General features: G+C 40.3%; 2 annotated features.

The window, feature by feature from the left end:
• Nucleotides 9,366–9,950: an enhancer, noted in NCBI's record as "H3K27ac-H3K4me1 hESC enhancer chr4:76326688-76327272 (GRCh37/hg19 assembly coordinates)". NCBI's record gives its function as "activates a minimal SCP1, AML or CMV promoter by ChIP-STARR-seq in naive H9 embryonic stem cells {active_cell/tissue: H9 hESC(naive)}" and the evidence as "EXISTENCE:reporter gene assay evidence [ECO:0000049][PMID:30033119]".
• Nucleotides 9,951–10,536: an enhancer, noted in NCBI's record as "H3K27ac-H3K4me1 hESC enhancer chr4:76326102-76326687 (GRCh37/hg19 assembly coordinates)". NCBI's record gives its function as "activates a minimal SCP1, AML or CMV promoter by ChIP-STARR-seq in primed H9 embryonic stem cells {active_cell/tissue: H9 hESC(primed)}" and the evidence as "EXISTENCE:reporter gene assay evidence [ECO:0000049][PMID:30033119]".

Raw genomic sequence — 22,533 nt, 5'->3', positions numbered from 1 at the left:
CAACAGAGCAGAAAGAAACAAAATTGAGACTGAAAAAATGCAAAAGATCAATTAAACAAAACTTTTTAAAGTAAAAGATAAACAAAAGTAATATACCATTAACTAGACTAAGAAAAAAGGGGAGAAGAGCCAAATGAATAAGATTAGAAATGGAAAAGGAGATGTCACAATGGGTACCACAGACATACAAAAAATTATGAGACTACTATGTACAGCTATATACCAATAAACTTGAAAACAGAACAGAAATAGATAAATTCTTGGACATGTACAATCTACTGAGATCGAATCTAGAAGGAATAGAAGACCTGAACAGACCAAATACAAGTAACAACATTGAATCAGTAAAAAAAAAAAAAAAAAAAAAAAAAAAAAAAATCTTCCAACAAAGAAAAGTCCAGTACTGAATGGCTTCACTGATGAATTCTACCATTTAAGAAAGAATTAATACCAGTTCTTCTCAAAAAATGGCATCAGAAGGAATCTTCCAAACTTACTTTACAAGGGCAGCACAACCCTGATACCAAAACTACACAAGGACACAAAGTAAAAATACAACTATAGGCAATATCCTTGATGAACAAAGATGAAATCTCAACAAAATACGAAAAAACTGAATTTAACATCACATCAAAAAGAAAATATACCATGATCAAGTGGGAATTATCCCAGGAATGCAAAGATGGTCCCACATATGCAAATACATAAACATGATTCATCACATCAACAGAATGAAGGTCATAAACTATATGATCAGCTTATTAGATGTAGAAAAAGCACTTGATAAACATTCCTTTATGATAAAAACTTAATAAATTAGGTAAAGAAGGAAAGTACCTCAACACGATAAAGGCCATATATGACAAACCTACATCTAAAATCATACCGAATGGGGGAAAAGCTGAAAGCTTTTCTTCTAAGAACTGGAGCAACACAAGGCTGCCTACTTTCACCACTCTTATTCAACATAGTATTGGAAGTCATAGCCAAAGCAAGTAGACAAGAGAAAAAAATTAAGGGCATCCAAATTGGACAGGAGGAAGTCAAATTGTCCTGTTTGTTTGCAGATGACATGATCTAAATATATAGAAAACACTGTAGACTCTACCAAAAAACTCAGAACTGGTAAATGAATTTAGTAAAGTTGTAGGATACAAAATCAACATGCAAAAATCAGTAGTGTTTCTATATACAATTAGTGAACGAGATAGAAAAGAAGTCAAGGAGGCAATCTCATTTACAATAACTATGAGAAAAAAAATACCTAGAGATAAATTTAACAAAGGAGGTGAAAGATGTCTACAAGAGAAACTACAAAACACTGATGAAATAAACAGAAGAGGATATAAAAAATTTGAAAAATCTCCCATGCTCATGTATTGGAATAATTACTATTGTTAACCATACTACTCAAAGCAATCTACAGATTCAATGCAATCCTTATTGAAATACCAATGACATTCTTCATAAAAATAGAAAAAAAATCCTAAAATTTATATGGAACCACAAAAGATCCCAAATAGCCAAAGCAATCCTGAGCAAAAAGAAAAAAGCTGGAGGCATCACAGTACCAAACTTCAAAATATTGTACAAAGCTATTGTAACCAAAAGAGTTTGGTACTGGCATAATAACAGAAACATGGAACAATGGAACATAATAGAGAGCCCCCAGATTAATTCATGTATCTTCAGCTAATTGATTTTTGAGAAAGATACTAAGACTACTCATTAGGGAGAGGAGAATCTCTTCAAGAAATGGTGCTGGGAAAATTGGATATCTATATGCAGAAGAATAAAACTAGACCTCTACCTTTCATCCTGTAGAAAAATCAACCAAAATGGATTAAATACTTAAATGTAAGACCTAAAACTATAAGACTACTAGAAGAAAATGTACGGAAAATGCTTCAGGACATTGGTCTGGGAAAAGATTTTATGAACAAGACCTCAAAGGCAAAAGCAGCAAAAGCAAAAATGAACAAATGAGATTACATCAAACTAAAAATCTGCACAACAAAACAAACAAGCAAAGGAAGAAAATATTTGCAAACTATTTTTCCATCAGGGGATTAATATCCAGAATATATAAGAAACTCAAACATCTCAACAGCAAAAAATCCAAACAATCCAAGTAAAATATGGGCAAATGATCTGAATAGATATTTCTCAAAAGAAAACTTACAAATGGCTAACAACTATTAAAAAATGCTCAGCATCACTAATCAACTGGAAAATGCAAGTCAAAACCACAGTGAGGTATTATCTCATCCTAATTAGAAAGGCTATCATAAAAAAGGCAAAAAATAACAAATGCTGGTGAAAATGCAGACAAAAAGAAACTTACAACAGTTGGTGGAAATGTAAACTAGGATAACCACTGTGGAGAACAAGTATGGAGGTTTCTCAAAAAAACTACAAATAGAACTATATGATCCAGTAATTCCACTACTGAATAGTTATCCAAAGTAGAGTAAATCAGTATATCAAAGAGATATCTGCACCTCTATGTTTATTGCAGCACTTTACAATAGCCAAGATATAGAATCAACCTAGGTGTACAACAACAGACAAATAAAGAAAGAACATATGGAATATATATACGCACAATGGAATACTCTTCAGTCATAAAAGGTAATAAAATCCTGTCATTGATGGCAACATGGATGAAACTGGAGGACATTGTGTTAAATGAAATAAGCCAAGAACAGAAAGGTAAAACTGTATGTTCTCACTTATATACAGAAGCTAAAAAAAGTTGATCCCATAAAAGTAAATAATAAAACAGAGGATACTAGAGGCTGAGAAGGGTAGGGGAAAGGAAGGATAGATGGATATTTGTTACAGATACAAAATTACAACTAGATAGAAGGAATAAATACTAGTGTTCTCTCGCACTGTAGGATGACTACAGTTAACAATAATAAATATTTTCAAATTGTTAGAAGGAGAATATTGAATGTTCCCAACACAAAAGAATGATTAATGTTTGAGATGATGGATACGCTAATTACCCTGATCTAGTCATTATATGTATTGAAACACTATGTACCCCATAAATATGTACAATTTTTATTTTTTTAATTTTTTTAAAATTTTAAATTTTTTTTGTAAAGACAAGGTCTTGCCATGTTGCCCAGGCTGGTCTTGAAATCTTGGGCTCATGTGATCCTCCCACTTTGACCTCCCAAAGTGTTGGGAGTTACAGGCATGAGCCACTGTCCCTGGCCAATTTTTATATTTCAATTAAAAAAATAAAAAATATTTCTTGTGTAAATGTGTGCAATATTCAGCAAACTCATCTCCTTGAACCTGGCAGAATTACCTCTTTGTCACTATATTATACAGGTTAGGCTAGATTCTCTGTGGTAACAAGGCAACTCCAAAATTTCAATGGCTTTTAACAAGAGAAGTTTACTTCTTGTTCATACAACATATCCAGTGAAGGTCAGCTGGATGCTCTGTTGCGTATCTTCCTACTTGAGAATCCAGGCTGATGTGATGTGTAGCCACCACCTTGAATGCTGTTAATCATCCTGCTGGAGGGAAAAGAGAGCTCTGGTGGGTTTGGCAATGGCAATTAAATGCTCTAACCTGGAAGTAATATGTACAATATCTGCTTAAAACTCATGGGACAGAATTAGTGACATGGCTCTACCCAATCATAAAGGAGCCAGAAAGTCCAATTTAACACTTTCCCAGAAATGGGGATACCCAGAAAGGACTGGTATATAATTGGTGAAATAATTACTACCACACCCATGACACTAGCCATAATGAACTGAATGTTTATGTCCCCCTCTCCCCCAGTTCACTTGTTGAAATCCTCAACTTCAAAGTGATAGTATTAGGAGGTAGGGCTATTGGGATGTGATTAGGTCATGAGGGCAAAACCCTCATGAATAGGATTAGTACCCTTATAAAAGAGATCCTGGAGAAATCCCTTGCCTCTTCCACCATGTGAGGACACACAGAGAAGGCACTATTTATGAACCAGAAAGCAGCCCCTCAGCAGACACTGAATCTGTTGGCACCTTGATCTTGGACTTCTCAGCCTCCAGAACTGTGAGAAATAAATTTCTGTTGTTTACAGGCCATCCCATTTGAGGCATTTTTTTTTTATAGCAGTCTGAATGTACTAAGAGCCCCTTGGATCTTTGCATTGTTCATGGCCTTAGTTCAAAATCCATCAGCTGACCTTTCTTTTTTTTTTATTTATTATACTTTAAGTTTTAGGGTACATGTGCACATTGTGCAGGTTAGTTACATGTGTATACATGTGCCATGCTGGTGCGCTGCACCCACTAACTCATCATCTAGCATTAGGTATATCTCCCGATGCTATCCCTCCCCCCTCCCCCCACCCCACAACAGTCCCCAGAGTGTGATATTCCCCTTCCTGTGTCCATGTGATCTCATTGTTCAATTCCCACCTATGAGTGAGAATATGCGGTGTTTGGTTTTTTGTTCTTGCGATAGTTTACTGAGAATGATGATTTCCAATTTCATCCATGTCCCTACAAAGGACATGAACTCATCATTTTTTATGGCTGCATAGTATTCCATGGTGTATATGTGCCACATTTTCTTAATCAAGTCTATCATTATTGGACATTTGGCTTGGCTCCAAGTCTTTGCTATTGTGAATAATGCTGCAATAAACATACGTGTGCATGTGTCTTTATAGCAGCATGATTTATAGTCCTTTGGGTATATACCCAGTAATGGGATGGCTGGGTCAAATGGTATTTCTAGTTCTAGATCCCTGAGGAATCAACACAGTGACTTCCACAGTGGTTGAACTAGTTTACAGTCCCACCAACAGTGTCAAAGTGTTCCTATTTCTCCACATCCTCTCCAGCACCTGTTGTTTCCTGACTTTTTAATGATTGCCATTCTAACTGGTGTGAGATGTTATCTCATTGTGGTTTTGATTTGCATTTCTCTGATGGCCAGTGATGATGAGCATTTTTTCATGTGTTTTTTGGCTGCATAAATGTCTTCTTTTGAGAAGTGTCTGTTCATGTCCTTTGCCCACTTTTTGATGGGGTTGTTTGTTTTTTTCTTGTAAATTTGTTTGAGTTCATTGTAGATTCTGGATATTAGCCCTTTGTCAGATGAGTAGGTTGTGAAAATTTTCTCCCATTTTGTATGTTGCCTGTTCACTCTGATGGTAGTTTCTTTTGCTGTGCAGAAGCTCTTTAGTTTAATTAGATCCCATTTGTCAATTTTGGCTTTTGTTGCCATTGCTTTTGGTGTTTTAGACATGAAGTCCTTGCCCATGCCTATGTCCTGAATGGTAATGCCTAGGTTTTCTTCCAGGGTTTTTATGGTTTTAGGTCTAACGTTTAAGTCTTTAATCCATCTTGAATTGATTTTTGTATAAGGTGTAAGGAAGGGATCCAGTTTCAGCTTTCTACATATGGCTAGCCAGTTTTCCCAGCACCATTTAATAAATAGGGAATCCTTTCCCCATTGCTTGTTTTTGTCAGGTTTATCAAAGATCAGATAGTTGTAGATATGCGGCGTTATTTCTGAGTGCTCTGTTCTGTTCCATTGATCTATATCTCTGTTTTGGTACCAGTACCATGCTGTTTTGGTTACTGTAGCCTTGTAGTATAGTTTGAAGTCAGGTAGTGTGATGCTTCCAGCTTTGTTCTTTTGGCTTAGGATTGACTTGGTGATATGGGCTCTTTTTTGGTTTCATATGAACTTTAAAGTAGTTTTTCCAATTCTGTGAAGAAAGTCATTGGTACCTTGATGGGGATGGCATTGAATCTGTAAATTACCTTGGGCAATATGGCCATATTCACGATATTGATTCTTCCTACCCATGAGCATGGAATGATCTTCCATTTGTTTGTATCCTCTTTTATTTCCTTGAGCAGTGGTTTGTAGTTCTCCTTGAAGAGGTCCTTGACATCCCTTGTAAGTTGGATTCCTAGGTATTTTATTCTCTTTGAAGCAATTGTGAATGGGAGTTCACTCATGATTTGGCTCTCTGCTTGTCTGTTGTTGGTGTATAAGAATGCTTGTGATTTTTGCACATTGATTTTGTATCCTGAGACTTTGCTGAAGTTGCTTATCAGCTTAAGGAGATTTTGGGCTGAGATAATGGGGTTTTCTAGATATACAATCACGTCATCTGCAAACAGGGACAATTTGACATCCTCTTTTCCTAATTGAATACCCTTTATTTCCTTCTCCTGCCTAATTGCCCTGGCCAGAACTTCCAACACTATGTTGAATAGGAGTGGTGAGAGAGGGCATCCCTGTCTTGTGCCATTTTTCAAAGGGAATGCTTCCAGTTTTTGCCCATTCAGTATGATATTGGCTGTGGGTTTGTCATTGATAGCTCTTATTATTTTGAAATACGTTCCATCAATACCTAATTTATTGAGAGTTTTTAGCATGAAGGGCTGTTGAATTTTGTCAAAGGCTCTTTCTGCATCTGTTGAGATAATCATGTGGTTTTTGTCTTTGGCTCTGTTTATATGCTGGATTAGATTTATTGATTTGTGTATATTGAACCAGCCTTGCATCCCAGGGATGAAGCCAGTTTGATCATGGTGGATAAGTTTTTTGATGTGCTGCTGGATTCGTTTTGCCAGTATTTTATTAAGGATTTTTGCATCAATGTTCATCAAGGATATTGGTCTAAAATTCTCTTTTTTTGTTGTGTCTCTGCCTGGCTTTGGCATCAGAATGATGCTGGCCTCATAAAATGAGTTAGGGAGGATTCCCTCTTTTTCTATTGATTGGAATAGTTTCAGAAGGAATGGTACCAGTTCCTCCTTGTACATCTGGTAGAATTCGGCTGTGAATCCATCTGGTCCTGGACTCTTTTTGGTTGGTAAGCTATTGATTATTGCCACAATTTCAGCTCCTGTTATTGGTCTATTCAGAGATTCAACTTCTTCCTGGTTTAGTCTTGGGAGAGTGTATGTGTCCAGGAATTTATCCATTTCTTCTAGATTTTCTAGTTTATTTGCGTAGAGGTGTTTGTAGTATTCCCTGATGGTAGTTTGTATTTCTGTGGGATCAGTGGTGATATCCCCTTTATCATTTTTTATTGCATCTATTTGATTCTTCTCTCTTTTTTTCTTTGTTAGTCTTGCTAGCGGTCTATCAATTTTGTTGATCCTTTCAAAAAACCAGCTCCTGGATTCATTAATTTTTTGAAGGGTTTTTTGTGTCTCTATTTCCTTCAGTTCTGCTCTGATTTTAGTTATTTCTTGCCTTCTGCTAGCTTTTGAATGTGTTTGCTCTTGCTTTTCTAGTTCTTTTAATTGTTATGTTAGGGTGTCAATTTTGGATCTTTCCTGCTTTCTCTTGTGGGCATTTAGTGCTATAAATTTCCCTCTACACACTGCTTTGAATGCGTCCCAGAGATTCTAGTATGTTGTGTCTTTGTTCTCTTTGGTTTCAAAGAACATCTTTATTTCTGCCTTCATTTCATTATGTACCCAGTAGTCATTCAGGAGCAGGTTGTTCAGTTTCCATGTAGTTGAGCGGTTTTGAGTGAGATTCTTAATCCTGAGTTCTAGTTTGATTGCACTGTGGTCTGAGAGATAGTTTGTTATAATGTCTGTTCTTTTACATTTGCTGAGGAGAGCTTTACTTCCCAGTATGTGGTCAATTTTGGAATAGGTGTGGTGTGGTGCTGAAAAAAATGTATATTCTCTTGATTTGGGTTGGTGAGTTTCTGTAGATGTCTATTAGGTCTGCTTGGTGCAGAGCTGAGTTCAATTCCTGGGTATCCTTGTTGACTTTCTGTCTCGTTGATCTGTCTAATGTTGACAGTGGGGTGTTAAAGTCTCCCATTATTAATGTGTGGGAGTCTAAGTCTCTTTGTAGGTCACTCAGGACTTGCTTATGAATCTTGGTGCTCCTGTATTGGGTGCATATATATTTAGGATAGTTAGCTCTTCTTGTTGAATTGATCCCTTTACCATTATGTAACGGCCTTTTTTGTCTCTTTTGATCTTTGTTGGCTTAAAGTCTGTTTTATCAGAGACTAGGATTGCAACCTCTGCCTTTTTTTGTTTTCCATTGGCTTGGTAGATCTTCCTCCATCCTTTTATTTTGAGCCTATGTGTGTCTCTGCACATGAAATGGGTTTCCTGAATACAGCACACTGATGGGTCTTGACTCTTTATCCAATTTGCCAGTCTGTGTCTTTTAATTGGAGCATTTAGTCCATTTACATTTAAAGTTAATATTGTTATGTGTGAATTTGATCCTGTCATTATGATGTTAGCTGGTGATTTTGCTCGTTAGTTGACGCAGTTTCTTCCTAGTCTCGATGGTCTTTACATTTTGTCATGATTTTGCAGTGGCTGGTACCGGTTGTTCCTTTCCATGTTTAGTGCTTCCTTCAGGAACTCTTGTAAGGCAGGCCTGGTGGTGACAAAATCTCTCAGCATTTGCTTGTCTGTAAAGTATTTTATTTCTCCTTCACTTATGAAGCTTAGTTTGGCTGGATATGAAATTCTGAGTTGAAAATTCTTTTCTTTAAGAATGTTGAATATTGGCCCCCACTCTCTTCTGGCTTGTAGGGTTTCTGCCGAGAGATCCGCTGTTAGTCTGATGGGCTTCCCTTTGAGGGTAACCCGACCTTTCTCTCTGGCTGCCCTTAACATTTTTTCCTTCATTTCAACTTTGGTGAATCTGACAATTATGTGTCTTGGAGTTGCTCTTCTCGAGGAGTATCTTTGTGGCATTCTCTGTATTTCCTGAATCTGAACATTGGCCTGCCTTGCTAGATCGGGGAAGTTCTCCTGGATAATATCCTGCAGAGTGTTTTCCAACTTGGTTCCATTCTCCCCATCACTTTCAGGTACACCAATCAGGCGTAGATTTGGTCTTTTCACATAGTCCCATATTTCTTGGAGGCTTTGCTCATTTCTTTTTATTCTTTTTTCTCTAAACTTCCCTTCTCGCTTCATTTCATTCGTTTCATCTTCCATCGCTGACACCCTTTCTTCCAGTTGATCGCATGGGCTCCTGAGGCTTCTGCATTCTTCACGTAGTTCTCGAGCCTTGGTTTTCAGCTCCATCAGCTCCTTTAAGCACTTCTCTGTATTGCTTATTCTACTTATACATTCTTCTAAATTTTTTTCAAAGTTTTCAACTTCTTTGCCTTTGGTTTGAATGTCCTCCCGTAGCTCAGAGTAATTTGATCGTCTGAAGCCTTCTTCTCTCAGCTCGTCAAAGTCATTCTCCATCCAGCTTTGTTCCGTTGCTGGTGAGGAACTGCGTTCCTTTGGAGGAGGAGAGGCACTCTGCTTTTTAGAGTTTCCAGTTTTTCTGTTCTGTTTTTTCCCCATCTTTGTGCTTTTATCTACTTTTTGTCTTTGATGATGGTGATGTACAGATGGGTTTTTGGTGTGGATGTCCTTTCTGTTTGTTAGTTTTCCTTCTAACAGAGAGGACCCTCAGCTGCAGGTCTGTTGGAATACCCTGCCGTGTGAGGTGTCAGTGTGCCCCTGCTGAGGGGTGCCTCCCAGTTAGGCTGCTCAGGGGTCAGGGTTCAGGGACCCACTTGAGGAGGCAGTCTGCCCATTCTCAGATCTCCAGCTGCATGCTGGGAGAACCACTGCTCTCTTCAAAGCTTTCAGACAGGGACATTTAAGTCTGCAGAGGTTACTGTTGTCTTTTTGTTTGTCTGTGCCCTGCCACCAGAGGTGGCGGCTACAGAGGCAGGCAGGCCTCCTTGAGCTGTGGTGGGCTCCACCCAGTTGGAGCTTCCTGGCTGCTTTGTTTACCTAAGCAAGCCTGGGCAATGGCGGGCGCCCCTCCCCCAGCCTCACTGCCGCCTTGCAGTTTGATCTCAGACTGCTGTGCTAGCAATCAGCGAGACTCCGTGGGCGTAGGACCCTCCAAGCCAGGTGAGGGATATAATCTCGTGGTGCACCGTTTTTTAAGCCCGTCGGAAAAGCGCAGTATTCGGGTGGGAGTGACCCGATTTTCCAGGTGCCGTCCGTCACCCCTTTCTTTGACTCAGAAAGGGAACTCCCTGACCCCTTGCGCTTCCCAAGTGAGGCAATGCCTTGCCCTGCTTTGGCTCGCGCATGGTGTGCGCACCCACTGACCTGCGCCCTCTGTCTGGCACTCCCTAGTGAGATGAACCCGGTACCTCAGATGGAAATGCAGAAATCACCCGTCTTCTGCGTCGCTCACGCTGGGAGCTGTAGACCGGAGCTGTTCCTATTCGGCCATCTTGGCTCCTCCCCCAGCTGACCTATCTTACCCTCTGCTCCCAGATCTGTTCTTGACAGCCCAGGCATTTGACCTCTCAACTTACTTATTTCTTCAGACATATATCTGTTCTAAAACCTGAGGTTTGCAAGTGATTCTCTAGGTCTGGTTTCTGCTTTTTTTCTTGATCGCAATTTTTACTTTTTATTCTTAATGACATTGTTTTCAGTCATTCTGGCTAAACATTTCACCATGTCTTGCTGCAGCCTTGGGCCCTAAACCTTGACTCAGATCCCACAAGCCAATGCCTCTATGAAGTTGAGCTAGTCATTAATAACATCATAATGAATGTCACATGGAGAGAATAATATGATTATATTATTAAGTATTCCCCTGAGCTGCTTTCTTCAGAGATACTGTGGGGACTGAACTAACTTTAATTAGCAAGTATCATATAAAAGGAAACATCAATGGAAAAAATGGATCAAAGGATTAAACATGACTGAACCCAGCAGGAAAGCGTATCTGACCATTCTCAATGTGGATAATCATGTGAAGAAAGGTGAATAATACAAACTTAGGTGCACATCTATTTTGGCTCAATGTGAAAGCTGCAACAAGTGAGCTAAAATGTTAATGACATGGTAAATCATCGTAGAAAAATATTGTATTAGTACAACATCTCCATGGCTGCCTTCACTGCTGTAACAATGTACTAAAGAATAAAGAAGCAACTGGGCTTAATATGTTCACAGTGGAAGAAACATTTTTCGTCCTACAATCTATTTTATTTCATAATTTTAGGCATCTCTATTGACTCATAGACTAAACTGCACTCAACCTCATTGTGCATAACTTTCATTGCCACTATGGCATATAAAATAAACTTGCCTGAGAACAGGGAAAGTGGTGGGTTAGGAGAGACAGGAATTCTGGGGAACATCTCCTTTATTAAGACAAAACCCACAATCTCTAAGATTTAGCCCCAGGTAGAGAACATGTTGGTCAAGAGGTGACTGGATCGAGTAAGCCTCTTTTGCCTCTGACATTCTCCCATTTTAATTGTGCCTATAGTCTGACCGTGCAGCCCTTGATCTCTGTGGCTCTTCCGGTTTAGGTTTAAGGCTCCGACTCACACCTAAGCAAAGGCCTTTCCTTTAGTTTTCCCTAACACAGCCGAGACAGGAACATATATATATATAAACTTTAAAGAACAAACAGGCACATAAACCTTTATAGTTTACACAGTAGAGGTTTCTGATCCTTTCTATAGTTTGGTTGTTCCTAGAGCTTGTCAGCCCAGCAACCTTACATTCCCTGTCTTGCTGTCTTAATCTGAGTTCTCCTAGAAGCACACACCAAAATGTGGCTCTGCGTTTAATTGGATTTGAGAGGTTATGCAAGAAAGTATTTTTAGAAATGTACTGCAAACTTCTCTGTCCCCAAGTCAATCTCCTTATTTCTGTTCCATTCAAATAAGAACATTGGCTGGTTTAAGGAACAGATTCTAAGTGACATTTTCTGGTGGGTAAAAACTTTTCTAACGTTCCTTAAGTCCAGTATATGGGCATTTGTTGTTTTGGTCCTCCAGTGTCTTTTCTTTTAGGAAACTGCTCCTCCCCTAATTATACGTAGTTCAGGAAGCCTGGCCTCCACTCCCTTGGCAACTAACACAAACCTGCCCAGCCACACATGGGGCTCCAATCTCAGGTCATGTGGGTTTGCCTGTCATGGACCCGTACCTGAGCCAGGCCAATCAAAGTGTTTCTCAGGAATTAGGAATTTCACACATAAAACCTGGAGAGATAGCACATGCTCTTTCTTTCTTCTTGGACTGTGAGCTGTACAGATGCAAGTCCTGATTGACTGTCTATGGCAGTAGATTTTTTTTTTCAACTAGGCTGGAGTGTAGTAGAGTGATCATAGCTCACTGCAGTCTTGAACTCCTGGGTTCAAGGGATCTTTCTGCCTCAGCATCCCAAGTATGGGTCCACAGTCACATGCCACTAGGTCTGGCTAATTTTTTATTTTGTTTTTATAGAGACAGGGTTCTCACTATGTTTCCCAGACTGATCTTGAACTCCTGGCCCTCCCACCTTGGCCTCCCAAATGCTGGGATTACAGGCATGAGCCACCATGTCCGGCCTTATTTCTTTTTATTATGAAATAATATTCCATCATATGGATATACCACATTTTATTTTTCCATTCATTTGTTGAACATCTGGTTTGTTTCCACCTTTGGCTATTGTAAATAATGCTGCCATAAGCATTCATGCTCATGTTTTTGTATGGACATATATTTTCATTTCTCATGGTATATGCTTAGGAGAGGAATTGGTGGTTCATATGGCAACTTTATATTTAATCTTTTCAGGAACTGTCGGACTATTTTCTTAATGGTTGCACCATTTTACATTCCTACCAGCAGTGTATGAGGGCTCCAATTTCTCCACATCCTCACTAACGTTTGTTAGTATCTTACTTTTTTGATTCTAGTCATCCTAGTGGGTATGAAGTGGTATCTCATTGTGGCTTTGATTTGAATTTCCCTGTGACTAATGATGCGGACATCTTTCCATGTGCTTGTTGGCTGTGTGTCAGTCTGTTTTGGAGAACTGTCTATTCATATTCTTTGCCTATCTTATAATTGAGTTACTTGTCTTTTTATTATTGAGTTGTAAGAGTTATTTGTATTTTCTATATACAAGGCCCCGTCAGATATATAATTTGCAAATATTTCCTCCTGTTCTCTGTGTTGACCTTTCATTGTCTGATGATGTTCCTTGTTTTCCAGTTATTAGCATAATTATGCAGAGGAGATTTTAATGTCCTTCGTTTCATCTCTTTTTATGTATTTCTATACCCATGGAGTCTAGAGTCAAGCAGAGACCTTTTGATCAAAAAGTACCTAATTACTTTTCTAACCCAAGAAAAGTGTGAATCTTAGAGGACAAGTTTTGAAATAAAAAGAGCTTCATCTGAGGCTTTGCCTTGGTCTTCTGATTTAGGAAGGGACATGATAGGAAAAGAAAAGCCTTTTCCCAGAATGCTTTACATTTTATCTTCATAACATGCATACAACTTTGTTTGGAAATTCCCAGAATATTTAAATTACTTGTATACTAAGTAGTATTTACAAAACTTATGGATTGTTTCCAGATCAGAATGTGCAGTCAAAACACTTGACGGCATGAACAAAGAGGAAAAGGAAAACAACAAACCTCAGAATAAAACCCCAGAATAAAGGAGTGACAACTACTCTGTCAAGTATATTTACCCAATTAAATGATATATAAGTCATTCAATAAACAGCTTTTGTGCATTTTGATGTGAAAGGCCCCATGTTAGTTGCTGTTGTGGTGGTGGTGGAGGGAGTGTGTGGAACAGGGAAGAATACATGGGAAGAAGTCTGCCCTTGAGTTGACAGCTTGTCATAGAGGAAGTTAGGTAACAACACAGGCAACAAGAGTGGAAAGTCAAATGTTGTAAATGCAAATAAAAGGCTGCAAACAATATGGAGCCACAGCAATTGGAGAAATCTTATCCAGCATAGGGAATCAAGAGAGACCACAAAGGAAGTTCTGAAAAGATTCAGCATTTAGCTGTGTCTTGAAGTTGCTTAGGGATACTGTCAGTGTTTGCGGAGTTTGGAGGATAGGACTGAGAGTTCTGCTAGAGTCCAGGGCATGTGCAAGGGAGAGGCTGGAGGAGAGGTTGGAAAGGCTGCTTATCTGAGAACAAAAAGGGCTGGGAACACTATCTAGAGCCCTTGCCCATAATTATTAAGACAAGGAGAGGCCTGGCATGGTGGCTCATGCCTATAATCCCAGCACTTTGTGAGGCCAAGGTGGGTGGATCACTTGAGGTCAGGAGTTTGAGACCAGCCTGGCCAACATGGTGAAACCCTGTCTCTACTAAAAATACAAAAATTAGCCAGGTGTGGTGGTGCACGCCTGTAATCCCAATTACTTGGGAGGCTGAGGCAGGAGAATCACTTGAACTTGGGAGGCAGAGGTTGCAGTGAGCCGAGATTGCACCACTACACTTCAGCCTGGGAGACGGAGTGAGACTTTGTCTCAAAAAAAAAAAAAAAAAAAAAAAAAAAAGACAAGGAGGAGCCACCGAAAGTTGTTGAGTTGAGCAGGAGAGTGTTTGGAGTAGTTCTTTGGGAAGATGCATTCGGCAACTGGAGGTAGGATAAATGGAGAGAGACTGTATATTGGGGGGTGGGTGTCAGTGAAGAGTTGGTTCTTCAGGGACAGTATGTGTGACCAGTGTGAAATCAGACGTTGAGTTAAAGGACAGCTCTTGTGGAGCTATAGGCTGCCTAAACTTAACACCAGCAACTAGCCAGTACTCCTTGGCTGAAGTTGCCACTCTGTTATCAGGAAGGCGTGGCAAAGCCAGAAGAAAAGATGAAAGCAGATGCAAGACAGGCAGCATCCATTGTCCCCACACTCAAAAGTAATCAGATGTATTAAGTCACACGGGAGCTTTACAATCAGTGCTGGGGCTTTGGAAGTGCCAGTTGGCAGAATAAAAGATTGCGTGCAGTTGGCTGTGCTGAAACAGATTCACCTCTCAGGAGGGCCTTCCCAGGGAAACGGGGGTGGCAGAATGGAGTGGAAAGATGCGAAGAACGAGGTGGGGAGGCAGGGGCCCTCCTGCCATCTGAACTGCCTACACATCACATCAAAGCTGTGGGGGTGAAATGTGGCAGCTCCAGCCACCTGGATCTCTCTGACAGGGCCACAGAGCAGAGCCTCAGCCTCTTCACCTGTAAAATGGCAGACATCTTGAGGATTAAATTAAACAATGCACATGCAGCCCTTGGCAGAGGGCCTGGAACACAGCAGACAGTTACTGTTCCCTACGGATGCTCCTGGAACAATGTAACATGCCTGTGGAGCCAGGGGAGGACTCTTCATCTCAGAGCCTTGTCCTTCTGTCCTTGGAAAGAGTAGGGACACCTGGTGGTTTTACAGTTGAGGTAGTAGTTGACACAACCATTTGAGTTAATTTGATGCCACTACTTCGTGGTTCTGGCACAACACTACCAGCCAAATTGCTATACCTACTGTGCGGGCTTCCCATTCCCTTCACTGGCCTGGCCTGACTCCTCTAAGTGCTTCTTCCATATTTCCTGTACTTCCTCTTCCTTCCCTTCAAGAAACTCTTGGCCTAGTGCTGAAGGCTCAGGAATTTGACAACCTATTCTGGGACTGCTTGTGGTTTTAAAAGTGCAGAAGAAGGTAGAGAATGTAATTGCACAACATTTTGGATAGACATGGAAAGTTTGGGAGGCAGTAAGGCAGGAACTAAGTTTATAAGGTGGACTGACTACCTAGGGCTTCTGGGCAACTTAGGGGTCAGGCTACTGGCAGGCTCCTTCCTTCCTTCTCTTGCTCCCCACCACCCTGTCCTCCTACCTGTCCTTCTTTCCACAGTGTGAAGAATAACACAGACCCCGCCTTGCAGCAAGCTGTAGGAGGGAGAAAAACATGCATGCAAGTGACCTCAACTGGGAGTGACAAGTATCCTAGAGGAAACTCAGATTGTCTTAGTCCTTTTTGCACTGCTACGACAAAATACCTGAGAGTGGGTAATTTACAAAAAACAGAAATTTATTTTCTTTCAGTTCTGCAGGCTAGGAAGCCCCAAATCAAGGCAGGTTTGATCATCTGGTGAGGGCTGCTCTCTGCTTCCAAGATAGCACCTTGTTGCTGTATCTGCTGGAGGGGAAGAATGCTGTGTTCTCACATGGTGAAAGATGGAAGAGCAAGAGACTGAAAGTTGCATGAAGCCTCTTTTATAAGGATCTTAGTCCATTCATGAGGAAGGAGGCCCTTGTGGCCTTCTCACCTGTTAAAGGCCTCTTAATACCATCACTTTAGCAACATCTGAATTTTTGAAAGAGTCCAGTCAAATCATTGCACAGGTGATAAGAAATGTGAGTTCGAGTGGGGAGTAATGACTGTGTAATGAAGGGTTCTGGAAGACTTCAAGGAGGAGGTGGCTATGAGGCTGGGGTCTGAAGGATAGGTAAAACTTAGACATTTGAAATAAAAGGGGAAGGCAACACCTTGAAGAAGAAAGAAAGGAAAAAGCCATGGTTGTATAAAGGGTTGAATCCTTAATTTTGTCAGATTTCTAAGTGTGTGAAGGGAATTGAGGGCCAGGTTAGGGGAGGAGTTTGGAAGTGAGGGTGGGCATTTTGGAGTCTATAACATTAGGGAGGTGGTAAGTATATTATAAGAACCATAGTTTAGGAAGTAATATTAGTCCATCAACATTACGTAGAATGGATGAGGAGGTGGGGACATGTGGGGGAGAAGGGAAGCAGAGAGATGGCATGAGAGTATTGCAGTGGTCCAGGAAGAGCTATTGGTATGAACTCAGGACTGTCAGGGCAAGGAAGAGGAGTTAGAATGGATAGGCTGCATGCTACAGAGTTAGAATTAGTAGATACTGGTTACTGGCTGAAAATTGGGGCTATGCAGGAAAGAGGAATCCAGAATGACTTTTCTGCCTTTTCCCATCTGGGATTGCCCAACACTGCTCATTCCTGAAGGACACTGGCTCCTTTAGGCTGAGCAAATTGTCCTACAATTTCCCCTTCTATGGGCTCTGCCTTTCTTCCGTTCTCCATCCCTACCCACCACCCAATCTGAGGATGCTGTTTAAATATTTCTCATTTATCATCATAGCCATAAGCAGAGAGAGAGGTATTCTGGGTTTATAATGGACATGCCAGTTTTTACTGCAACTTTTCTTGATGAGTTCCCATTTAGAAAGGTTTCACAGTGCCTTACTGATAGGAAAAGAAGTCTTCTCCAGAGTACTTATGCCAGTATATGGATTATTAGGTTGTGCTTATATTTTTGGTGGGGTAGGAGGGGAAGAAAAGATGTTTATTTAGGGGCATTGTTGAAAAAAGTCGTGGGAGTGTGATGATTTTTCACTTATTTCACTGTGATGTCCTCTTCAGAACAAAAATCAGGACTTGGGCAGCCACTGGGTGTCTGCATTGATCTGCCTGCCCAGTTTCCATGGGGATTTTCCCATTTTCTCCCTCCATCTACCATCTAGGCCTCGCTTGAGTCCATATGGTGACAGACAATACACCAAAAATCCCATTTCCTTTAATGTTTCTCTTGTTGGTATGCTAAACATTTTCTTCTTCCCTCCTTCCATTTATTTATCTCTCATTCTCTCTTTTTTGCTCCTCCAGATACAAACATATATAAATGTATCATTTCAAACTTTTTTGAGGGCAGGCATGCTTAAAACCATTTGGTGTTGGGTATGATGATGGATGAGGATGCACTGAGTCTGTGTTGTGGCCATCTCTGTGGCCTGGGCTCATGTCTTCTTCAGTCTGGGATCTAGGCTGAGAGGCAACCTCAACTTGGTCTTGTGGTGGAGGAAGAAGAGCAATGATGGACTCAGGCAGTGAACTTCAAGCTTCTGCTTAGAGGTGGACATGTCACTTTTTTTCAGCATCTGTCACTTGAACCCAGACATAATGCCACATATGTTAAGTGTTTGTTTGTCATTATTGCAGCAGCATATTTCTGTATCTTCCAGTTTTCTCTAGGTTATACTGCAGTGAGGACACCCCCAAATCTCAGTAGATTACGAGAACACAGCTCTAATTCTTGTTACATGCTCTACTTTGCCAATGTGCCAGCTCTGGGTCAAAGAGAGCTCTTAGCTTGTGACCCTGCTCAAATGTCTTTATTTTGGTGTCCAGGGTAAAGGAATAGCCCTTGGGCTCTTGGAAGAAGGAAAAGCACCTCAAACTTACTTTTATTTTACTTCTTTTTTTTTTTAACAGAACTCGTTGTCCAAACTGTGCTAGGGCACACACAGTTTTCCTCTCCCTCATCCTTTTTCCTTATGAGATCTCCATCTTGGAATGTTGGCCTATACCAGACAGACTAGGATAATGGAAAAGACTATTTGGAAAAAGGAAAAAATAAAAGATTTAGAGTGTCCGGTGGCTTGAGAATGCTTTTAGTCTTGCTACAAGAATCAGTGGTGTTAGCCAAGGTTTATCTTGCGGACATTTCACTTTGAGAGTGGAAGCAGAATTCTTTGTTCTTTATCCTCTCTCCTCCCAGAAAGACTGCATGCGCAGTGTCTCCTCCCCAGCTCACCCTCCCCCTTTGCCAGGGCGACAGGGAGAAGAGGTAGAATCCTGGTGGGAGGGAAGTGTGTTGAAAAGATGGAGGGGACTATGAGTGGGGCCTGGGGAGAAGAGGATGAGGGAGGGAGCCCAGAGAGTCTGGTTTCTTTGACACTCACCCCTGCTAGACTTAGGATACAGGGGATAATTAAAGAGCTGTTTTGCTCAGCTTCTAGTCTCGGTGTATGTGTGATTACCTAATTGTAGGGGCTCTGTTTCTGAAAATGGTTGTACTTTGATGCCCTTCAAATAGTTAAGGGCACAGGCACACAGTCCCAATGCGTTACTCAGATGAACATAAGGGCCGCTTTGGTGAGGGAGTGGAAGACACCACCAATCTTCCAGACTTCCAGTTCTGCAGAATCCTGGGACTCTGATAAGTGCAGTTTCAACATCTAAAGAATAAAGTCATAATTTTGTGGTCCAATATTATAGAAACATTAAATACGACTTCTAGGAAAAACATTAGTTTTATATTTCTGTGATTGTTGGAAAATGAGGAGGCATTATAACACTATCTTTTGAAGAATTCCAGAAGAGGGAGGACATGGGCTAGAAGTCAATGATTACCTTATATATAGCTTATGCTTTGATAGGGATAAGTACTCTAAAAAGGGAAGATTTTGTTGTTTGGTCTTATCAGCCACTAAAAAGTTCTAAAATACCTCGTGGGCTTGGAGAAGCAATTTTTTTTAAAAAGATCCACTTTCATAGCATTTTATTCATAAACACTGAATGAGTTTTGGTTCTCATGAAAAATAGTCAGTAGAGGTGGTGGATTTGGAAAAGAACCTGGAGGAGACCAGCAAGGAAGCTGCATGGACAGGGGAGAGACCATTTTTTCCAGGCTGAGGGTGGCTTTGTAGCTGGCTGCAGCGAATGAAGCCAGCACTGCTGGCTTGAGCTTGTTTTCATGGCATAATTAATGTGAGGAAGTGTCATCTTTTCTTGCAAGTGGGTAACCTTGGATCATGAGCTCTGAACTTAGGAAAGGAAACCACACACAAATGGGTAGAATTGAGGAAATCCCTCACCTCACAATGGCCCTTGGGGAGGTATGTGGTCTGTGAAACACAGAACTGTGCAAGGCAACCTGGAAGCTTAAAGGGTTTCTCTTGCCTCTTGCCAGCTGCCAGCTCTGAGAAACCAGGGCTTGTGCTTTCCTACTGAGCTTCCTTCAGAAAAACAAGTGTCTTGTGTTTGTATGGGAGAAAAAAGAACATTCATTTCTCTTACTTCTGTGAAGATGTGTTAACTAGTGAGGAGGAGGAGGTGGCATCTTTTTATGAGGATTGTATTGGCAGCTCAGGGGTAGCACACAAAGAAGGGGTTAACAGATTTGCCTTTGAAAGGTGACTAACCATGCATTACTGTTCTCAGCTGAGAGAAAGCCAGGGCTGATTGCTACAAAGGTCAATGCCAAATTTAAATACATCCTTTTTGGCAGGGGTTGAAATCCTAGTCTCTGATAAAACAGACTTTAAACAAACAAAGATCAAAAGAGAAAAAGAAGGACATTACATAATGGTAAAGGGATCAATTCAACAAGAAGAGCTAACTATCCTTAATATGTATGCACCCAATACAGGAGCACCCAGATTCATAAAGCAAGTCCTTAGAGACCTACAAAGAGCCTTAGACTCCCACACAATAATAATGGGAGACGTTAACACCCCACTGTCAACATTAGACAGATCAATGAGACAGAAAGTTAACAAGGATATCCAGGAATTGAACTCAGCTCTGCACCAAGCAGACCTAATAGACATCTACAGAACTCTCCACCCCAAATCAACAGAATATACATTCTTTTCAGCACCACACCACATCTATTCCAAAATTGACCACATACTTGGAAGTAAAGCACTCCTCAGCAAATGTAAAAGAACAGAAATTATAACAAACTGTCTCTCAGACCACAGTGCAATCAAATTAGAACTCAGGAGTAAGAAACTCACTCAAAACCACTCAACTACATGGAAACTGAACAACCTGCTCCTGAATGACTACTGGGTACATAATGAAATGAAGGCAGAAATAAAGATGTTCTTTGAAACCAACGAGAACAAAGACACAACATACCAGAATCTCTGGGACACATCTAAAGCAGTGTGTAGAGGGAAATTTATAGCACTAAATGCCCACAAGAGAAAGCAGGAAAGATCTAAAATTGACACCCTAACATCACAATTAAAAGAACTAGAGAAGCAAGAGCAAACACATTCAAAAGCTAGCAGAAGGCAAGAAATAACTAAGATCAGAACAGAACTGAAGGAAATACAGACACAAAAAACCCTTTAAAAAATCAATGAATCCAGGAGCTGGTTTTTTGGAAAGATCAACAAAATTGATAGACCACTAGCAAGACTAATAAAGAAAAAAAGAGAGAAGAATCAAATAGATGCAATAAAAAATGATAAAGGAGATATCACCACCTATCTCACAGAAATACAAACTATCATCAGAGAATACTATAAACACCTCTATGCAAATAAACTAGAAAATCTAGAAGAAATGGATAAATTCCTCAACACATACACCCTCCCAAGACTAAACCAGGAAGAAGTTGAATCTCTGAATAGACCAATAACAGGCTCTGAAATTGAGGCAATAATTAATAGCCTACCAACCAAAAAAAGTCCAGGACCAGATGGATTCTTGGCCGAATTCTACCAGAGGTACAAGGAGGAGCTGGTACCATTCCTTCTGAAACTATTCCAATCAATAGAAAAAGAGGGAATCCTCCCTAACTCATTTTATGAGGCCAGCATCATCCTGATATCAAAGCCTGGCAGAGACACAACAAAAAAAGAGCATTTTAGACCAATATCCCTGATGAACATCGATGCAAAAATCCTCAATAAAATACTGGCAAACTGAATCCAGCAGCACACCAAGAAGCTTATCCACCATGATCAAGTGGTCTTCATCCCTGGGATGCAAGGCTGGTTCAACATACACAAATCAATAAATGTAATCCAGCATATAAACAGAACCAACGACAGAAACCATATGATTATCTCAATAGATGCAGAAAAGACCTTTGACAAAATTCAACAAAGCTTCATGCTAAAAACTCTCAATAAAATAGGTATTGATGGAATGTATCTCAAAATAATAAGAGCTATTTATGACAAACCCACAGCCAATATCATACTAAATGGGCAAAAACTGGAAGCTTTCCCTTTGGAAACTGGCACAAGACAGGGATGCCCTCTCCCACCACTCCTATTCAACATAGTGTTGGAAGTTCTGGCCAGGGAAATCAGGCAGGAGAAGGAAATAAAGGGTATTCAATTAGGAAAAGAGAAAGTCAAATTGTCCCTGTTTGCAGATGACATGATTGTATATCTAGAAAACCCCATCGTCTCAGCACAAAATCTCCTTAAGCTGATAAGCAACTTCAGCAAAGTCTCAGGATACAAAATCAATGTGCAAGAATCACAAGCATTCCTATACACCAATAACAGACAAACAGAGAGCCAAATCATGAGTGAACTCCCATTCACAATTGCTTCAGAGAGAATAAAATACCTAGGAATCCAACTTATAAGGGATGTGAAGGATCTCTTCAAGGAGAACTACAAACCACTGCTCAATGAAATAAAAGAGGATACAAACAAATGAAAGAATATTCCACGCTCATGGGTAGGAAGAATCAATATCGTGAAAATGGCCATACTGCCCAAGGTAATTTATAGATTCAATGCCATCCCCATCAAGCTACCAATGCCTTTCTTCACAGAATTAGAAAAAACTACTTGAAAATTCATATGGAACCAAAAAAGAGCCCTCATTGCCAAATCAATCCTAAGCCAAAAGAACAAAGCTGGAGGCATCATGCTACCTGACTTCAAACTGTACTACAAGGCTACAGTAACCGAAACAGCATGTTACTAGTACCAAAACAGAGATATAGATCAATGGAACAGAACAGAACCCTCAGAAATAATGCTGGGTATCTACAACCATCTGATCTTTGACAAACCTGACAAAAACAAGAAATGGGGAAACAATTCCCTATTTAATAAATGGTGCTGGGAAAACTGGCTAGCCATATGTAGAAAGCTGAAACTGGATCCCTTCCTTACACCTTATACAAAAATTAACTCAAGATGGATTAAAGACTTAAATATTGGACCTAA

Source organism: Homo sapiens, chromosome 4, assembly GCF_000001405.40.
Source record: "Homo sapiens chromosome 4, GRCh38.p14 Primary Assembly".
NCBI lineage: Eukaryota > Metazoa > Chordata > Mammalia > Primates > Hominidae > Homo > Homo sapiens.
This window is presented reverse-complemented; position numbering and strand designations above follow the sequence as displayed.